This window comes from Homo sapiens, chromosome 2 (assembly GCF_000001405.40).
Source record: "Homo sapiens chromosome 2, GRCh38.p14 Primary Assembly".
In the NCBI taxonomy this organism is placed as follows: domain Eukaryota; kingdom Metazoa; phylum Chordata; class Mammalia; order Primates; family Hominidae; genus Homo; species Homo sapiens.
In genome coordinates this window covers 3,230,375-3,248,651 of record NC_000002.12, presented here as the reverse complement: position 1 = coordinate 3,248,651, position 18,277 = coordinate 3,230,375, and the positions used below count along the sequence as shown (strand labels likewise).

Below are 18,277 nucleotides of genomic sequence, written 5' to 3'. Positions count from 1 at the left end.
TGGGATTACAGGTGCCCACCATCACGCCCGGCTAGTTTTTTTGTTTTTTTTCTTTTTCGAGACGGAGTCTTGGTCTGTTGCCCAGGCTGGAGTGCAGTGGTGCAGTCTCGGCTCACTGCAGCCTCTTCCGCCAGGGTTCCAGTGATTGTCCTGCCTCAGCCTCCTGGGTAGCTGGGATTACAGGCGCCCACCACCACGCCTGGCTAATTTTTGTACTTTTAGTAGAGACAGCGTTTTGCCATGTTGGCCAGGCTGGTCTCGAACTCCTGACCTCAGGTGATCCACCCGCCTTGGCCTCCCAAAGTGCTAGGATTACAGGCGTGTGCCACCGCACCCAGCTCATGCCCGGCTAGTTTTTGTGTTTTTAGTAGAGATGGGGTTTCACCATGTTGGTCAGGCTGCTCTTGAACTCCTGATCTCAGGTGATCCACCCACCTCGGCCTTCCAAAGTTCTGGGATTACAGGCGTGAGACACCACACCCAGACCCCAGACTCTTTTAAACATCCAGATTGTGTATGAACTAACTGAGCGAGAACTCACTCACCACCAAGAGGATGCTGCTAGGCTATTCATGAGGGATCCGCCCCCATGCCCCAATACCTCCCACCAGGCCCCACCTCCAGCACTGGGGATCACATTGCAACATGACATGTGGAGGGGACAAACATCTCGACTATGTCGCTCCCTTAAATTCTTTCTGGAAAAGATGGGCTATAGATAAATAAGAAGAATTAATAAAATTCTACCCTTTGACTGTTACAGAAATTGAGGCTAAATGAGATGAATACCAACGTCACCCTTATAATTGATAACAAATTTTTACTTTCCAAGAGTAGATAAGAAAGGTTTCTTTAGGACACCTTTTAAAAATATTGTATATGGTTATTCTTCTATTAAAGGATTAGGTTTCTCCCTGAGTCAATGATTAAACTGATAGCTAAATGCATCTTATCAATATGTAGAGTGTACATATTGATAGTGAATAATGAGCAATTGACTGTGGACCCACCACATCCTCTAATGCTTCCCAGCACTTTGCACCTACCCAGCTCATGTTTACACCAGTGCCCTTCGGAGCCCTGATAAAGGGGAGGTTTCCTGGAACTCTGCAGGTAAGAGCAGGAAGGAGGTAATTATCTTCTGCAAGTACTGTTCTCTTGTGTCGGCTTGCTGTGAAGTTGGGATGTGGTGTCTCCACAATGCATCATCATCACCATTGGTTCGATGGCTGATTAGCCACAACAGGGTAATTTTATGGTTTTCCATCGCCCTTTGATGATAAAGAGGCTCTCCAGCTGTTCAAGAGTTATGCACCTTCACTGTAGATTAATGCTCCCTGCTGGCTAGTGGAAGCAACGTCAAAATAATGGAAACCTCGGCGCATTCTTGTTGTGCTCCGTTTCCCAAGTGGTATATCAAGAGTCGTCCTAGAAATCGCCTTGTTTCTTGGATGATGAAAATCTCCTTTAAAGGCAAAGTTACTAGAATCCATAATAAGAAGCTTTTGAGGGATGGGAGTGAAGTGAATGACAGTGGCAGCTCCCTCCCTCTCTCCCTCCCTCTCTCCCTCCCTCTCTCCCTCCCTCTCTCCCTCCCTCTCTCCCTCCCTCTCTCCCTCCCTCGCTCTCTCCCTCCCTCGCTCTCTCCTCCCTCGCTCTCTCCCTCCCTCCCTCCCTCCTTCCCCTCTCTCCCTGTCTCCCTCCCTCTCTCCCTCCCTTCATCCTTCCCTCTCTCCCTCCCTCTCTCCCTCCTTCCCTCCCTCCCTCCCTCCCTCCCTCCCTCCTTCCCTCCCTTCCTCCTTCCCTCCCTTCCTCCTTCCCTCCCTTCCTCCCTCCCTCCCTCCCTGCCTCCCTCCCTCCCTCCGTTTCTCCCTTTCTCCCTCCCTTCCTCCCTCTCTTCCTCTCTCCCTCCCATGGCTACCACCCCGGCAGGGAGGAGGCTACAGGGAGGAGTCCTGTGGGCTGGAGCTGAGCAAGGCTGCACTCCACACGCTGTGTGTTTCTCTGACATGTCCAAGTGCCCGTCACCTGCATGGTGGCTAGCTGATCTCTGTGTGCCATCTGAGCCAGTTTCTGGGGGAAGACAATCCCCTCAGTGTAGATGGAGGTAAATATCACAGTGAAATGCCAGACAGGCTGAGAGCATTTAGCATTACCTGGGAAAGCAGGGTGTACGTGTTAAGATTATTATCAGAAGAAAAGAAAAGGGCACAGAAGGCGGTATTGAGGCAGGGGGAAGGAAAGCAGTGTGTGTGGCTCCGCCAGGCACAGGGGGCATTTTGTTCAAAAAGCAGGATTTGGCTTCAGCTCTCTTCATTTTTCCTCATTTTAGTTTAGTATGACAGAACAGTGGAAATTGGCTCAGGTTAAATGTTACAAAGAGGAGTGAACTGATAGCTATCCTTCCCATTTTGTAAATGTTGTGTTTGAGGATAAGTAGTAAGAAAATGTGCTCGAAAGTCTCAGAGACCCTATGATATGATTCTGCTATTAAGGAGAGTAGGGAATTGTCTGTGATTATGGCAGTATTGCCACTGAAGATTTATTAGGTTCTTTTTTTGAGACGGGGTCTGGCTTTGTCACTCAGGCTGGAGTGCAGTGGTGTGATCACGGCTCAACCACAGCCTCGGCCTTCCAGGCTCACGTGATCCTCCCATCTCAACCTCCTGCAAAGCTGGGACCATAGGCATGTACCACCATGCCTGGCTAATTTTTAAATTTTATGTAGAGATGAGGTCTTAATTTCTAAATTTTAGGCAGAGATGAGGTCTCCCTACATTGCTCAGGCTAGTCTCAAACTGCTGGGCGCAAGCAGTCCTCCCACTTCGGCCTCCCAAACACTGAGATTACAGGTGTGAGCCACCGCACCTGGCCCAGATTCTTGTAAGAAAGATTTACATCAGTGCTGGTTGGCTTTAGCCAGCCTAGATGCGCTTAGGTGTGAAGTGCCTCACACTGGCATGCTTTCCTGGTTACTGGCTCCTGAGCAGAGTTGTCTATTAGCTTTCCAAAGGAGCTCAGAATGATGCCTAACATCCCTTAGTTTGTGCAGGAAAAGAACAACTTGTGTTATTACAGGAGAATAGAAAAATGTCTTCTTTCAAGTTTGTTTAAAGTCTCCATTTAAAATGGGGAATGAGGCTGGGCATGGTGGCTTATGCCTATAATCTCAACATTTTGGGAGGCCAAGGCGGGTGGATCACCTGAGGTTAGGAGTTTGAAACCACCCTGGCCAGCATGGCAAAATCCTGTCCCTACTAAAAATACAAAAATTAGCTGGGCACGGTGATGGCTGCCTGTAATCCCATGTACTCAGGAGGCTGAGGCAGGAGAATCACTTGAACTCAGGAGGTGGAGGTTGCAGTGATCCCAGATCGCTCCACTGCACTCCAGCCTGGGTGACAGAGCAAGACCCCATCTCAAAAATACAATACAATGCAATGCAACGCAACGCAACGCAACGGTAAAGTAAAATAAAGTAAAATAAATAAAATAAAATAAAATAAGGAATGGTTATCAGAGTCTCCCTTGCCCCATATAAATGTTATTAAAATTAATTATTAGAAAGGAGATGATGAGAAAATACTTTAGTAAAATGCAAAGTACAGGCGCAACTTATTCTAGGAAGAGTCATAATACAAAAATCTAAATATACAGTGCAGAAAATATAGATAATTACTTATATTGCAAGAGAAATTCCTATCTCCCCTAGGATTTTAGTTCAATTTCCATTAAATAATGTGGTTCAAAAGTATGTTTTTGTTGATCCTTTTATGAAGCAAATGGGTGTTTTAGGTAAAGAGAGGCAGATCGGTGTGTCCAGGCGAATGGCTCAGAAAACGCCTTAGTCCATTTGGGCTGCTTTAGCACAATCCCATAAACCAGGTAGCTTCCAGACAGCAGAAATTCATTGTTATAAGTTCTGGAGGTTGGGAAGTCCACGATCAAGGCGCTGGCTAAGTTGGTGTCTGGTGAGGCCCCTCTTCGTGGTTCACAGATGGCTCCTTTTTGCTGTGTCCTCTAGTGGTGGAAGGGAAGAAGGAGCTCCCTCAGGCCTCTTTGATAAAGGGCACTGATTTTGTTTGCCAAGGCTTTGCCCTCATGATCTGATTACCTTCCGGAGGCTCTGACTCCTAATACTTTCACTTTGGGGATTAGAATTTCCACATGTGAATTCTTGACGGGGTGGGGGGCTTCCAACAAGAACATAGCAGAATAAGTTTTTCAAAATTCTATTTGTGATATTTAAACTTGAAGTTTAAATAATTTTAAAATGTTATGCCTGAAGGTATACTAACCCTGCATGTAAGGAATTTTAACTAGAGTTGACTTTTCTTCTATGTTTAATAAACAGGGGTCAGGGGAGGAGAAAGAGAAGAAGTAGAAGAAAAAGGAGACCAAACTGCTGTTCAGGTTTTAGACAGCACATTTTACCTAGAAATGTGTTATGATTCAGAGGCTATCTTTGGACTTGCTGAGAAGACCCAGGGAGAAGACTGTTTGATATGTTAACGTTTCCCTGGAAGTCCTTTGCTGATGCAGCCGTGCTCTCCCACCTGCATCCTGGGAGGAGCTCTGCAGTGAGGGAGCCCCTGTGGGCCTGGGTTGTCACAGCCTTAGAGAGGAGACACCATGTGAACCCGAGAGAGGACACAGGTGAGCCCTGGGGCTGGTGTGAGTTCTGTCCGTCAAAAGGGCATTCTGAGCCCTGCCTGTGCTCCTCCAACCCTCTGTGGGATGGAGAGTCAGGACTGTGAGGCCTCCAGCATGGAGCCATGTCCTGGACGTCACAGCAGAGCCATGCCCTGTACGTCACAGCCCATATCTGCCCCAAGGACAGGCTTGCCCGGGTTGTGGCCCATTTCCCACCAGAGGATAGGGTTTTGAGGAATGGAGGGCTGGGTGATTAGGGCCGTTGTTTTTCTGCCTACACACTGATAAATGGTCCTGGTTTTGCTTGTGAATTCTTTTTAAATTTTTAAAAAAAATTTTTAATTTAATTTCATTTTGGGTTTTTTTTGAGATGGAGTCTTACTCTTGTCACCCAGGCTGGAGTGCAGTGGCGCGATCTCGGCTCACTGCAACCTCTGCCTCCCGGGTTCAAGCAGTTCTCCTGCCTTAGCCTCCTGAGTAGCTGGGACTACAGGCGTGGGCCATCACACTCAGCTAATTTTTGTATTTTTTAGTAGAGATGGGGTTTTACCACGTTGGCTGGGCTAGTTTCGAACTCCTGACCTCAGGTGATCCACCTGCCTTGACCTCCCAAAGTGCTGGGATTACAGGTGTGAGCCACCGTGCCTGGCCTTGCTTGTGAATTCTTAGTGTTAGAGTGCTTGTTTCTGTTGAGCTATGCCCAAGTTCTATGAAGCATATACTTAGGCTGTTAATTATTGATGTCAGTCTCCACAAAAAAGAAAAAAATTGGAGAAAAAAGCCATTCCCCTCATGTGCAGCCCGTATCTTCCTTTTGCTTTCTGTCAGACTTTAAACGGGGTTATTTGGTTGATGGAGCTATATGTTTGTCCCAGTGAGAGATGTCTGAGTAAACACAGACTTTTAATAACTGAGTTACCCAGTGTCAAACTTCCATGCTTGCCTGTCAGAAAGCGTTCCCAGGAAGCATAGAAACATGATTCTGTTCCTGGAAGTATTCCATAGGTCCCAACATAAAGAACTTGTACATCTGCAGATTTGATCAAAGGGAGCCTGGGGACTGAACGGTGTGATTCTCGGAGTTTCCTTTTTTATACTTCTTGCACGTGTGGAAAGCTGTCACGTGCTTTACTGTGGCTTTGCAAGCAGGAAGAAATTAACCACATTGCCAAGTCTGTGTGTTGTAAACGATTTGTAAGCTGGGGAAATAATTCATTATATTCTCTTTTAAAAGGGTTTCTCAAAGTTCAACTGGTAAGCAATGACATAATCACCATCATTGGATAGATACATATCTTTCTTAAGGCTTCTCCTTCTTCAGTACAGTAATAAACTTGAGTTTTAGGAAGCATTTGGAATCTTAGTCTGAGCACAAGCTTCCACGCCATCTGAAATCTCTGTCTTCCAGCCGTCGATGGCTGCTGCCTGGTGTGTGGTGTGGAGTCAGGGGCCTGAAATCTCTGTCTTCCAGCCGTCAGTGGGTGTGGAGTCGGAGGCCTGAAATCTCTGTCTTCCAGCCATCGGTGGGTGTGGAGTCGGGGGCCTGAAATCTCTGTCTTCCAGCCATCGATGGCTGCTGCCTGGTGTGTGGTGTGGAGTCGGGGGCCTGAAATCTCTGTCTTCCAGCCGTCAGTGGGTGTGGAGTCGGGGGCCTGAAATCTCTGTCTTCCAGCCATCGGTGGCTGCTGCCAGGTGTGTGGTGTGGAGTTAGGGGCCTGAAATCTCTGTCTTCCAGCCGTCAGTGGCTGCTGCCGGGCCCATGGTGTGGAGTCGGGGGCCTGAAATCTCTGTCTTCCAGCCGTCAGTGGCTGCTGCCGGGCCTGTGGTGTGGAGTCGGGGGCCTGAAATCTCTGTCTTCCAGCCATCAGTGGGTGCTGCCTGGTCCGTGGTGTCGAGTCGGGAGCTCCTGTTCTGTTAGGAGCTGTGCCTCTTGCCATTTGTCCTGGTACCTCCCCTTCCCATCCTACATGACGGCGGGGCTAGGAGGCATCTGCACACCATCGAATGTAGTCGATTTTGTGTTGAGGTTGTTCTGAGAATTTCTTGGTGTCCCTAGAGTTATCCCCACCCCACGTGCCAGAGTCCAGAATGGTGAATCACTCATTTTAGAATCACTTATTTGAAGAAGAAAAGTATGCATTTTGTTTGATCAGCATGAAACCTGCCGAATTAGGACCATATCCCACGATGATGACCCTTGTGAATGCCTCAAAGAAGTTCAGCTTGTTATTTGCTTGTTTCAGTTTATCTGGGCTTATTGACACAGCCCATTTCCAGCACCTTCCTCTCAGTGGCAATGAAGGGATGCTGCATACTCACATCAGGTGTGCGCCACCTAGTTCCTGACTTGTTCATATCGTTTTATGTCCTCTCCAATTCAGTGGGAGAGACTGATAAAGCAGAAAAGTGGGTGATTTTTACGAACAAAGAAATAAACGTCTTAGTTTGGAGTAGCGAGTATTGCAGAAATTCTAGGTTATTTTCTCATGTTTATGGCACTAGTTTCATGGTGATGGTCCATGATAAAATAGAAATTCTCTTTTTATTGCACTTTGCATACTCCAGTTATTCCAAGGTATACGGCAAACAGTAATGATTATAGGGATTGCTACGTATAAAATAACAGCAGTTATTTCCAGATGTATCACCCATGGATAAATAGTGAAAGATACGATAAAGGAGCTCTCCCTACCATAATTCTGGCTGGCAGTTGGGCCCCCATGGATTACCTCGTGGCATCTGCATCTCAGCTCTGCGGAGGTGCCTTCAAAATGCTTTGTTTTAGGAGGTACCAGCTGGCTTTGCTTTAGGAGGGACCTGCTCGCTGTTCTTGAGGAAGGATCTGCTGGCTATTCCTGAGGAAGAGTCTGCTGCTTTTCTTTAGGAAGGATCTGCTGGCTTTGCTTTAGGAAGAGTCTGCTGGCTTTTCTTTAGGAAGGATCTGCTGGCTTTGCTTTAGGAAGGATCTGCTGGCTTTGCTTTAGGAGGGATCTGCTGGCTTTGCTTTAGGAGGGATCTGCTGGCTTTGCTTTAGGAGGGATCTGCTGGCTTTGCTTTAGGAAGGATCTGCTGGCTTTGCTTTAGGAAGGATCTGCTGGCTTTGCTTTAGGAAGGATCTTCTGGCTTTGCTTTAGGAGGGATCTGCTGGCTTTGCTTTAGGAAGGATCTGCTGGCTTTGCTTTAGGAAGGGTCTGCTGGCTTTGCTTTAGGAGGGATCTGCTGGCTTTGCTTTAGGAGGGATCTACTGGCTTTGCTTTAGGAGGGATCTGCTGGCTTTGCTTTAGGAGGGATCTGCTGGCTTTGCTTTAGGAGGGACCTGCTCACTGTTCTTGAGGAAGGATCTGCTGGCTTTTCTTTAGGAGGGATCTGCTGGCTTTTCTTTAGGAGGGATCTGCTGGCTTTTCTTTAGGAAGGGTCTGCTGGCTTTGCTTTAGGAGGGATCTACTGGCTTTGCTTTAGGAGGGATCTGCTGGCTTTGCTTTAGGAGGGATCTGCTGGCTTTGCTTTAGGAGGGATCTGCTGGCTTTTCTTGAGGAAGGATCTCCTGCTTTGCTTTAGGAAGGATCTGCTGGCTTTGCTTTAGGAAGGATCTGCTGGCTTTGCTTTAGGAAGGATCTGCTGGCTTTGCTTTAGGAAGGGTCTGCTGGCTTTGCTTTAGGAAGGATCTGCTGGCTTTGCTTTAGGAGGGACCTGCTCGCTGTTCTTGAGGAAGGATCTGCTGGCTGTTCCTGAGGAAGAGTCTGCTGGCTTTGCTTTAGGAAGGGTCTGCTGGCTTTGCTTTCTTTAGGAAGAGTCTGCTGGCTTTTCTTGAGGAAGGATCTGCTGCTTTGCTTTAGGAAGGATCTGCTGGCTTTGCTTTAGGAAGGATCTGCTGGCTTTGCTTTAGGAAGGGTCTGCTGGCTTTGCTTTAGGAGGGATCTGCTGGCTTTGCTTTAGGAAGGGTCTACTGGCTTTTCCTTAGGAAGGATCTGCTGGCTTTTCTTTCTTTAGGAAGAGTCTGCTGGCTTTCCTTGGGAAGGATCTGCTGGCTTTGCTTTAGGAAGGGTCTGCTGGCTTTGCCCAGTGTTCTAGTTTCACATCACCCTGGAGAAGAACAAAGAGACCTGTTTATGTGTTTGAAGCTTCATATGTGAATACATGTCATAGGACCAGAGACCCATATATGTAAGGAAGGAGATGGAAAGAAAATAAGAGTTAGGAGAAGCCTAGGTTGGGGTTAATGAGCAGCCAGGAAGGGGGATGCCCTGAGTGTCTGCACCGTGCTGAGGGCAGGGCCACATGTGGAAAGGGGGTTAATGAGCAGCCAGGAAGGGACGCCCTGAGGGTCTGCACCGTGCTGAGGGCAGGGCCACATGTGGAAAGGGGGTTAATGAGCAGCCAGGAAGGGATGCCCTGAGGGTTTGCGCTGTGCTGAGGGCAGGGCCACACGTGGAAAGCAAACAGGCACCCGGGATGTCCATGCAGAGCAGACGCACGATGGCCAAATCAGAAGACGGATCCACCTCATGGCCAAATCTGAAGACAAAACTGCCGGCACACTGAGCCTCCTTCCTGTGTCTAAGCGTCTGTGCATCAACCACAGAGATGGTCATTTTACTAAGAAAGTGAGCCTGGGTTGTCTGTGCTGGAAGATTCCCCAGCCGTATTTCCTGTGTGAAGGCGGCTTTTATCTGCTCTCCCTTCTGTGTGTACCTGTGGGGTTTTGTTTGCTTTTCTTTTCCTACATATTTTAATTTGTGAACTGGCCCATACCCACCTGTAATATTGAGAAGGGGAGGACACAGCCTGATGGGGCCTGTCCCCAGAGGTCCCAGACCCTTGGCGCCTCCTTGTCCCTGTCGATCCACTCTCAGACTCTCCCAGTGGCCGGGTGGGGTCTGCTGTGCAGGCGGCCGGGCAGAGCCAGGTTGCGTCCCATCCTTGGCCGTGGCACCTCATCTGTTGACTGTGGGTTTTTGTGTGTTTTCTTTTTCCTTCAACATGCTCTCCCCTTCCAGGCTCTCCCAGAGACTTCATGCCGAGCTTAGATAGTCCTGGAAGGAAGCCTCTGGGAGTTTCTCCATCCCGGGCTGGCTGGCTCCCTTCTTAACACAATCTTTTCCAAGGCTAGGTAGTGGACGGTGAGTGGCACGGTGAATGTAAGGAGCCGGAGGGCCCGCTGTCCTTGCCCGTCTTGTCTGGGAATCTCAGGGCATGCAGATGATGTGGCCAGTTGGCCTCTTGCAGCATGGAAAGCAAGCTCCTTTCTCTTCACACTCATGTAATTCAGAGACTGCAAGATGAACCCTTTCAGAAATGAACGGCGAAGGTTCAAAGGCATCCCTTGATTCATACCCTGAAGTTATTCAGAGTTAATTTTCCACATTGGACGCTTCCTCTGTGAAAACAAAAGTCTCTAAATTCTCCTGACAGTGGGGAGACCAGAAGGAAGGCTGCACTCTGGGCCACAGTGGCAGTGGGGTGTGCATGGTGTATGGCATCTGAGAGAGAAGGAATGTGAGGAAGGTCCCCCACTTTGTGCATTAGCCTTAAAAGCAGAAGAGAACAATCAGCATCCCCACAGGGACCCACAGCCCAGGGCTCTGGGATGGGAATCACCTGTGCAGGCGACAGGACCTCCCGCGGCTCTGGAGTGTCACCAGCCCGTGGAGGGAGACAAGAGAGGCCCAGCTGGCCGATGTAGGTGGAAGAGCACCAGGGGTCACGGGCGCTCCGGAAAGCCGTGTTGGTGACTCCGGTCCTGAGCTGCTGGGTAAGATGTGGGTAGGATGGCCACACATGATTGAGTTTGGATGCCTTTCGGAACAGATGAAACATTGAGTTTTAGACATCTCTTGGAGGTTTTTTTCTTCTTAAAATATACCTCCATGGAATTTTTTTGGTGCATGCAAAGGTGATCATTTCAGTGTCCAGCCAAATTTTCAAGAAGCTTTTACGGTTTTCGTGAGGGAGGCTGTTGGCATTTGGGTGAGATAAGCCTTTGTCGTTGAAGCTGTTTGCACATTTGGAAGGTTTGTGAAACCAGAAATGTCCTTCACCCCTTGGATTTCTCAAATCCCCGTGGAGGGCAGCACCACGTTCAGCCTGAGGAGCACAGATCTCTTCGCGTCTGATAACAGCGAGGGCTTATTGAACAGCAGCCGTGTGCGGGCCTGTTCTCAGTGTTGACTGTTGACCATCCCAAACCTGTAATGTCAGTTTACTGCTATTCTCCCCGCTGGACGGAAGCGGAAACCAAGGCTCAGAGAGATGCAGGCACCAAGGGCTCAATCCTTCCAGGCTGCTGCAGACTCATGTGCCGCAGCATTCCACGCTTGCCTCTCAGCGCGTTCCATGTAATTGCCATGCCGTTCTGTGCTCTCCTCTTAGCGCGTTCCATGTGATCTGTGCTCTTAGTCATACAGCAGTCCCTGTTCCAAGACCCTAGCGGACCCCTGAAACGGCTGATAGTGTGGAACCCCAGACGTACAGTGCTTTTTCCTGTGTGCAATACATACGATAAAGTATAACTTGCAAATTAGATGCAGTAAGAGCTCAATGCAGTAATGGCTAATAAAATAGAACACCTGTAACAATAGACTGGACTAAAGGTTCTGTGAATGTGGTCTCTCTCTCTCCTTGTCTCCCAATATCTTGTTGTACTCACCTATTTTTAGACTGTGGCTGACCTCAGGTAACTGCAACTGTGGAAAGCGAAACTGGATAAGGCAGGACTGCCATATGTATGGTGTGTGTGTGTGTGTGTGTGTGTGTGTGTGTGTGTGTGTGTGTGTGTGTAGTTTTCAAAATACAGCTTAATCCTGAAAAGTCAGATCTTCTTTCCTCAGGTTAATGATTTGTGGTTTTTTCTGGACAGTTCTCCTCGCCCTCCCCATCTCCCAGGTGGACCTGTGTGGGGATCACTCAGTCTAATCCCTCCCTGGGTGCGTCTTTGTGTGCCTTGTGAGGAGCTGTGGCGGCTGCTGCAGCCACCGTAGGAAATCACAGCCACCCGGCTTTGTTTTTCTCGTGTGTTAACATGGTACAAATCAGTATAGTCAGCAGCTTTGAAGGTACCAGATAGTGTTGCCTTAGTCCTTTTGCCTAATGGTGATATTGAAGCCAACAAGCTTCCTGAAAATTGTGAGCTTTCAGGCCACGTGCAGACCTCAAGATACTGAGTCAGCCCTTGGTTGACTCTCAGCTCTGCCATTTATAGCTTTTTAATTTGGGGCTGGTCACTCATCTTTCTGTGTTTGTTACCTCATCTGTACAATAAGGAAGAGCGTAGGAGTCACCTCCTAGGCTCACAGTCAGTGTGAGAAGGAGAATGCTGTCCAGGTAGCCCAGGGCCTGCACCGAGCAGACGCCTTGGGTGCCACCTACAGTGAAGCTGGCCCTCTGGGATCCTGTCCTGAAATGGTACCTGGCCTGCCTGGTCTTGCCCACGATTGCGTCCCTTCTGTTCCCTGGCCCGAGTTGTGTCCTGCCCTGGCCCTGTAGTCACCTTTCTCAGGTGTGGTTTTCAGCCAGGTCCTTGGGCATTGCTCACAGATCCCCATGTCCTCCTCCTGAGTGAAGTCATCACCTGGGCTGAGCTCTCATGGCTGTCATCAGTCCCAGCCTCTGCTCATGTCCCTGGGCCAGGCAGCGAGGGACAAGGATGAGGACTGGGATTTGTTCCTGACTTGCCAGAGATGCCATGTTGGCCAGGTTCCTTAACAGAACTCTCTGAGCCCAGTTTCCCATCTTTAATCATTGTTTTCCTGCGCAGTTCATGCTTTTTCCCACATATTCTTGGTGGATATAACAGTATTCTGTAGACTTTAACATACAGTACACGTACGGCGATGTCATGACAGCCTCCCTGCCTCACAGGGTTGTTCAGTTCTGTGCTGCGGGCTGTGACTGTTCATTTCTAGGTGGCGGGAGAGTGGTGTGGTGCCAGCACCTTCATGCATGTGGAGGCGCTCTTAGCATGTCAACAGGAGTGCCCGGGTGTTGATGTTGCTCTTACCGTGATTACTAGTGCCCATTTGGCAAAACCCACTTTTCTCCACCTAAGTCCTGCTCCGAGGGTCTCACTGGGAGGGAGAGCTGTCGTAAAGCTCCAGCTTTCATGCAGAGCTTAGGATGCAATGGTCAGGTGATGGGTGCTAATTTGGGGCATTCTTTACCTCTGGACCAAGTGCTGACATGGGTCAATAAATACCAGGAAATCTGATTAATAACAAGGAATTATTGCTCAAAGAAAAGGATTTTGATGTCCTTTCTGGTAATTTTGTTCATTTGTATTATGTGATAAGCCTTTAAAATCCTGCATTCTATAATAAATGTGTGGAATCTTAAAATAAGTTTGGCAAAAACTTAGAGTTGAATTAAGTTCATTTGAGACTTCTTCAAAGAGCTGTAATTGCAGGGGCACCACAAGGTTTCCACGCTTGTCGGGTGCTTTGAAAAATTAGGCAGTGCTGTAGCGTGGACCTGAAGGACCTGGCCCACTTGAGCACTTGCCAGTCACCTTGGGAAGTCGCTGAGAGCTCTGGCTATTGGGGGGTGTGTGTGTGTGTGCGCGCACGCGTGTGTGTGTGTGTGTGCGCACCCGCATGCACACATGTTTGTGTTTCTAAAGGAAACCTTTGGTAACACAGAAGCCACCCACTGCTGTGCAGATGGTCATAGCTCTTATTCTTCAGATGAAGGCCGGTTGAGGCCAAGAAGAGGGAGGAGCTGAGGGGATGTGACCTATTCCTGTGGCTCCATGTCGGCGTCACCTTTTTAAGTCATTTGTAGCACTCATCTGGCTCATACATCTTTGAAGAGGGTAGTGAGTGAATAACAGGTAAGCAGCCATCAGAGGTTGTCATTTTCTTTTTCCTTTTCAATTTGCATCTTCCAGAGTTTTTGATGTGCAAGTTTGCATGTTAGTCTGAAACTGTTCTAACTTGCCGGTGGAAAACACACACAGACTTAAAAGGCAGGATAATTACCTTGCTGAAATTCTTTTCTCACCTTTTATGAAAGAGAAAGCTATTTTCTTGAGGAGTCAAGTTCCTATCCCAGCAAGGAAAAACTGATGACAGATTAGGGATGTGGCCACAGGCCCGGGACCAGCTGGTTAGCTAAACTCTCTGGAGTGTCTTTTGGAGGCCATGGCCTTGTGACCTCAGAGATGAACACTTACTTCAAAGCACAGGATTTTGACACTCAAGAGAGCAGGTCTCTTGTGCAAAGTAGGAGCATCTTCCAGTGCAAGGGCAGGGCTTGGAGAGAGACTGCAGAGGCTTCCGCGGAGTGGGGCTCAGTTTTGTGAATGCTGCCGCTTGTAATTCAACAGCGTCCCGCACTTTTACAGTGTGTGCTGTAGTGACGCAGGGGCTGCAGGGGACCCCAACAGGAGTGAGGGATGAGACTTTCTTTTTCCCCTTCTATCAGGGTGTTGACCGCCACGGCCCTGGGCTCTGGCAGCCTGGGTCTGGTCTTATTTATTGTGCATTCACCATGTTGGGCCTCCCCAGTGTGGAGCGTCGTGACACAGGGCCCTGGCTGCCGGAGCCTCGATGCGATGTCCTCCCACGTGGGTGTCCCCAGCCGACACGGAGAACTCCTGCCTGCTCTTGGGGACTCTTGCCTGTTGTTAAAGATGGAAAAGGTAGAGAAACAAGAAGGAATTCTGAGTGGTTCAGTCAGACATGTTTAAAGCAAAAAGTTGGCTTTTCAGTTTCAGAATTTAAGCATGCGATGTATTAGGTATTTTCAGCCAGTGACATTGAGCGACACAAACCACAATTTATTGGTAAAAAAAACAGCAAAATACAAGACATGCCAAACACATGTGCCCTCATTCCTGCAAGTTTTTTGTTTTGTTTCATTTTTAATTCTAGCAGTAATATGGATCCACACCACGCCCTCACTCTGTGGCCCTGGGCCTAATCCAGCCTGCTGCCTGCTTGTGTAAATAAAGTTCTGTTGGATCCTGGCTGCTACCCTTTGGTCATATATTGTCTGTAGCCACTTTTATGTTACAGTGACAGAGCTGAGTAGCTCAGAAGCCTGACCTGGCCCACAAAACTGAAAATACTTGTCATTGAGCCCCTTATAGAGAAAGCCTGACACCTGCTCAGGGTGCTGAGAACTTTGACTCCTATCTTTGAGATTTTTAAAGTTCTAAGGGAAAAGTAAGTAACTTCTCTATTGCTGTAATTCTTCACCCACTTAGGCCTCAGCTCACTGGACATTTTACCCAGATGGAACTTTGATGAAGAACAAGTCAACAGACTTTCCTTTGAAGGCTCCTTAGCTTGACTTCCAAAATAGATGCAATGAATGAAGAAGCAATTCACAGATGTGTGAGAAGCAGCCAGTACACACTTGACGGGTGGACAAACTTCCTAGTTGTTAGAAAACGCAGATTAAAGCAGCGAAGACATACCCTGTGAGGTTGGCTTGGGGAAGGGATCAGCACGGTCATTATCACAGTTACGGCTGGGATCCAGTGTCCCTGAGAATGCCGGGGGAAATGCACATTCTAGGAAGACAATTTGGGAAACATGTCTGTGTTTTGGCCCAGCAATTATAGCTCTAAGCACTTACCCTAAAGTGTGCCAAGAAGTCTTTCTCCAGGATACTTACTGCTTCATTGTATGAATCAATTGTGTGAAAAATTGGAAACAACTGAAGTGGCATACATGGGAATTGGATTAAAAAATTATGGAAATTCACACGATAGAATTCTGTGTGCCCTTTGGAAAGAATTATATCTATTTGATATGGAAAGTTACCCAGGATATATTTTAAGTTAAAAAAAAAAGCAAGTTGCAGAATAACATTAATAGCCTGATCACATGTTTGTAAGTAATGATTATGATTGTATTATACATACCACTGTATGCATAGAAAAGACCTGGAAAGCTGCATATCAATCACTTATTAACAGTAGTTATCATCTGTGGGTGGGAGTATGAGAGACTTCTACTTTTCTAAAGTTTTAAACTTTTTAATGGGCATATATGACTTTGCGTTTACAGTGTAAAGTAATACAGCTTAACGTGAGACTTCGCAAAGGCAAGAGGCTTCTTGTGTTTTACTCAGAGGAGAACTTCTTTAATGCCCACTTAGGGCTATTTATTATTTTGTTAGCAAAACTCGTTACATCTAAGTGTATGTGCTTTTCAGGGTGGTTGAGAGAGGAGAGAAGCCAGTGCAGACAGGGACACACACAGAAACAGAGACGGAGTAGATAACCATCCACGGGGCTGCTGACTAAATTTTCATAAAAGCAAACCCTATTCAGGCCTATTCAACATGGGGGAACCGGCTCTCTCCCCTGAGAGGAGAGTGAGTGTGATGCTGTCCTAACAGTGTTGAAATGGGTCATAACTGGCCTGTGCTCAGTGAAGCAGGCAAAAGACGGATGATGCACCTCAACGTAAATTCTAGCCAAAAAGCCTAAAATAACTAAAAAGAGACCAACATTGAAACAGGAGATCAAAAAATATCTTAAGGCAAATGAAAATGGAGCCACAACATACCAAAATGATGGGATGCAGCAAAAGCAGGTCTAAGAAGGAATTTAATAGCAATAAATGCCTACATGAAGAAAAAAAGAAAGATCTCAAATAATCAACTCAACTTTATACATCAGGGACTAGAGGAAGGAACAAACTAGGCCCAAAGTTAGCAGAAGGAAGGAAATAACAAAACCCAGAGCAGAAATATATGAAATAGACATGAGAAAAGCAATTGAAATATCAAAACTTAGAGCTGCTTTTCGAAAAGATAAAGAAGTTGACAAGCCTTTAGTGAGGCTAAAGAAAGTGAGAAAACACAAACAAAATCAGAAATAAGAGACAATATAAATGGTTCCACAGAAATACAAAGGATCATAAGAGACTACTGTGAACAATTATGCGTAAACAAATTGGATAACCTAGAAGAAATAGAGGAAACATACAACCTACCAAGACTGAATAAAGACGAAATAGAAAATCTGAATAAATCAACAATGAGTAGAGATTAAATCAGTAATCAAAAATCTCCCAACAAAGAAAAGCCCAGGACCTGATGACTTCACTGCTGAATTCTGCGAAATATTTTAAGAAGAATTAATGTTTGTTCTTTTCAAATTCTTTCCACAAAATTAAGAAGAGGGAACACTTCCAAACTTATTTTATGAGACCAGCATTAGTCTGATGTTAAAGCCTGACAAAGACACTACTAGAAGAGAAAATTACAGGCTAGAACATCTGATGAAAGTAAGTGCAAGTCCTCGATAAAATATTAGTAAACCAAATACAGCAGCACAGTAAAAGGATTATATACCATTATTAAGGGGGATTTGTCCCTCAGATGCAAGGATGCTTCAATATACCCACGTCAGTAAATGTGATACACCACATTAACAAAATAGACAAAAACCATACAAGCATCTCAGTAGAGGCAGAAAATGCATTTGACAAAATTCAACATCTTTTCATGATAAAAACTCTAAATAAATTAGATATAGAAGTAATTTACCTCAACATAATAAAAGCCATATATGGCATGTGTGTTAGCCAACAACTAACATCTGAAAAGTTGTAAGCTTTTCTTATAATATCAGGAACAAGACAAGGATGCCCACTCTTGCCACTTTTATCCATCATAATAACTGGAAGTTCTAACTAGAGGAATTAAGCAAGAAAAAGAAATAAAAGGCAAAAGCATCCAGATCAGAAAGGAAAAAGTATTTGTAGACAACATGATCCTAATATAGAAAACCCTAAAGATTCCACTAAAGCATTGTTAGAATCAGTAAACAAATTCAGTAAAGTTGCAGGATACAAAATCTGCATACAAGAATCAGTTGCATTTCTGTATACTGACAATGAAATATCCAAGAAAGAAATTAAGAAAACAGTTCCATTTACAACAGCATCAAAAAGGATAAATTTCTTAGGAGTAACTTTTACCAAGGCAGTGAAAGATCTGTACACAGAAAACTATAAAACATTGGTGGAAGAAATTGAAGAAGATGCAAACCAATGGAAAGATGTTCAGTGTTCATGGATGGGAAGAATTAATATTGTTAAAATGTCCATACCACCCAAAATCATCTACAGATTCAATGCAATCCCCATCAAAGTTCTGATGGCATTTATCCATAGAAACAGAAATAAAAGTCCTGAAATTCATATGGAACCCCAAAATACCTTGAATAAGTAGACTTTGAGAAAGAAGAACAAAGCCCAAGACATTCCACTTCCTAATTTCTTATATCATAAGACTACTGTAATAGAAACAGGATAATATGAAATTACAAATTGACATATAGACCAATGGAACAGAATAGAAAGCTCATAAATAAACTCACACGTATATGGTCAACTAACCTTTGAGAAAGATACCAAGAATACACAATGGGAAAAAGATAGTCTCTTCAATAAATGGTATAGTTGTGTCTCTGTGATCTGAAAATTTGAAATCCTATATGCTCCAAAATCTGAAACATTTTGAGCATGAATATGATGCCACAAGTGGAAAATTTTACACCTAACCTCATGTGGTGGATTATAGTCAAAATGCAGGCCCACAACACACAGTTTATTCAGCATCCCCGATGGGAAAAGAATCCTCCCACCCCCTTCAGCTGCAGCGTGTCTTTTCT

The 18,277-nt window shown here is 46.2% G+C and overlaps 1 protein-coding gene across 6 annotated transcripts in view, besides 1 other annotated feature; it reads left to right on the top strand.

The window, feature by feature from the left end:
• The window catches only part of EIPR1 (EARP complex and GARP complex interacting protein 1), a 188,849-nt gene that overhangs the window by 129,167 nt on the left and 41,405 nt on the right, over positions 1-18,277 (top strand). The window lies entirely within an intron of this gene.
• Positions 13,371-14,570: an enhancer, noted in NCBI's record as "BRD4-independent group 4 enhancer chr2:3237853-3239052 (GRCh37/hg19 assembly coordinates)". NCBI's record gives its function as "activates an origin of replication core promoter dependent on BRD2, P300/CBP, MED14 and CDK7 cofactors, and independent of BRD4, by STARR-seq in HCT116 cells {active_cell/tissue: HCT116}" and the evidence as "EXISTENCE:reporter gene assay evidence [ECO:0000049][PMID:35650434]".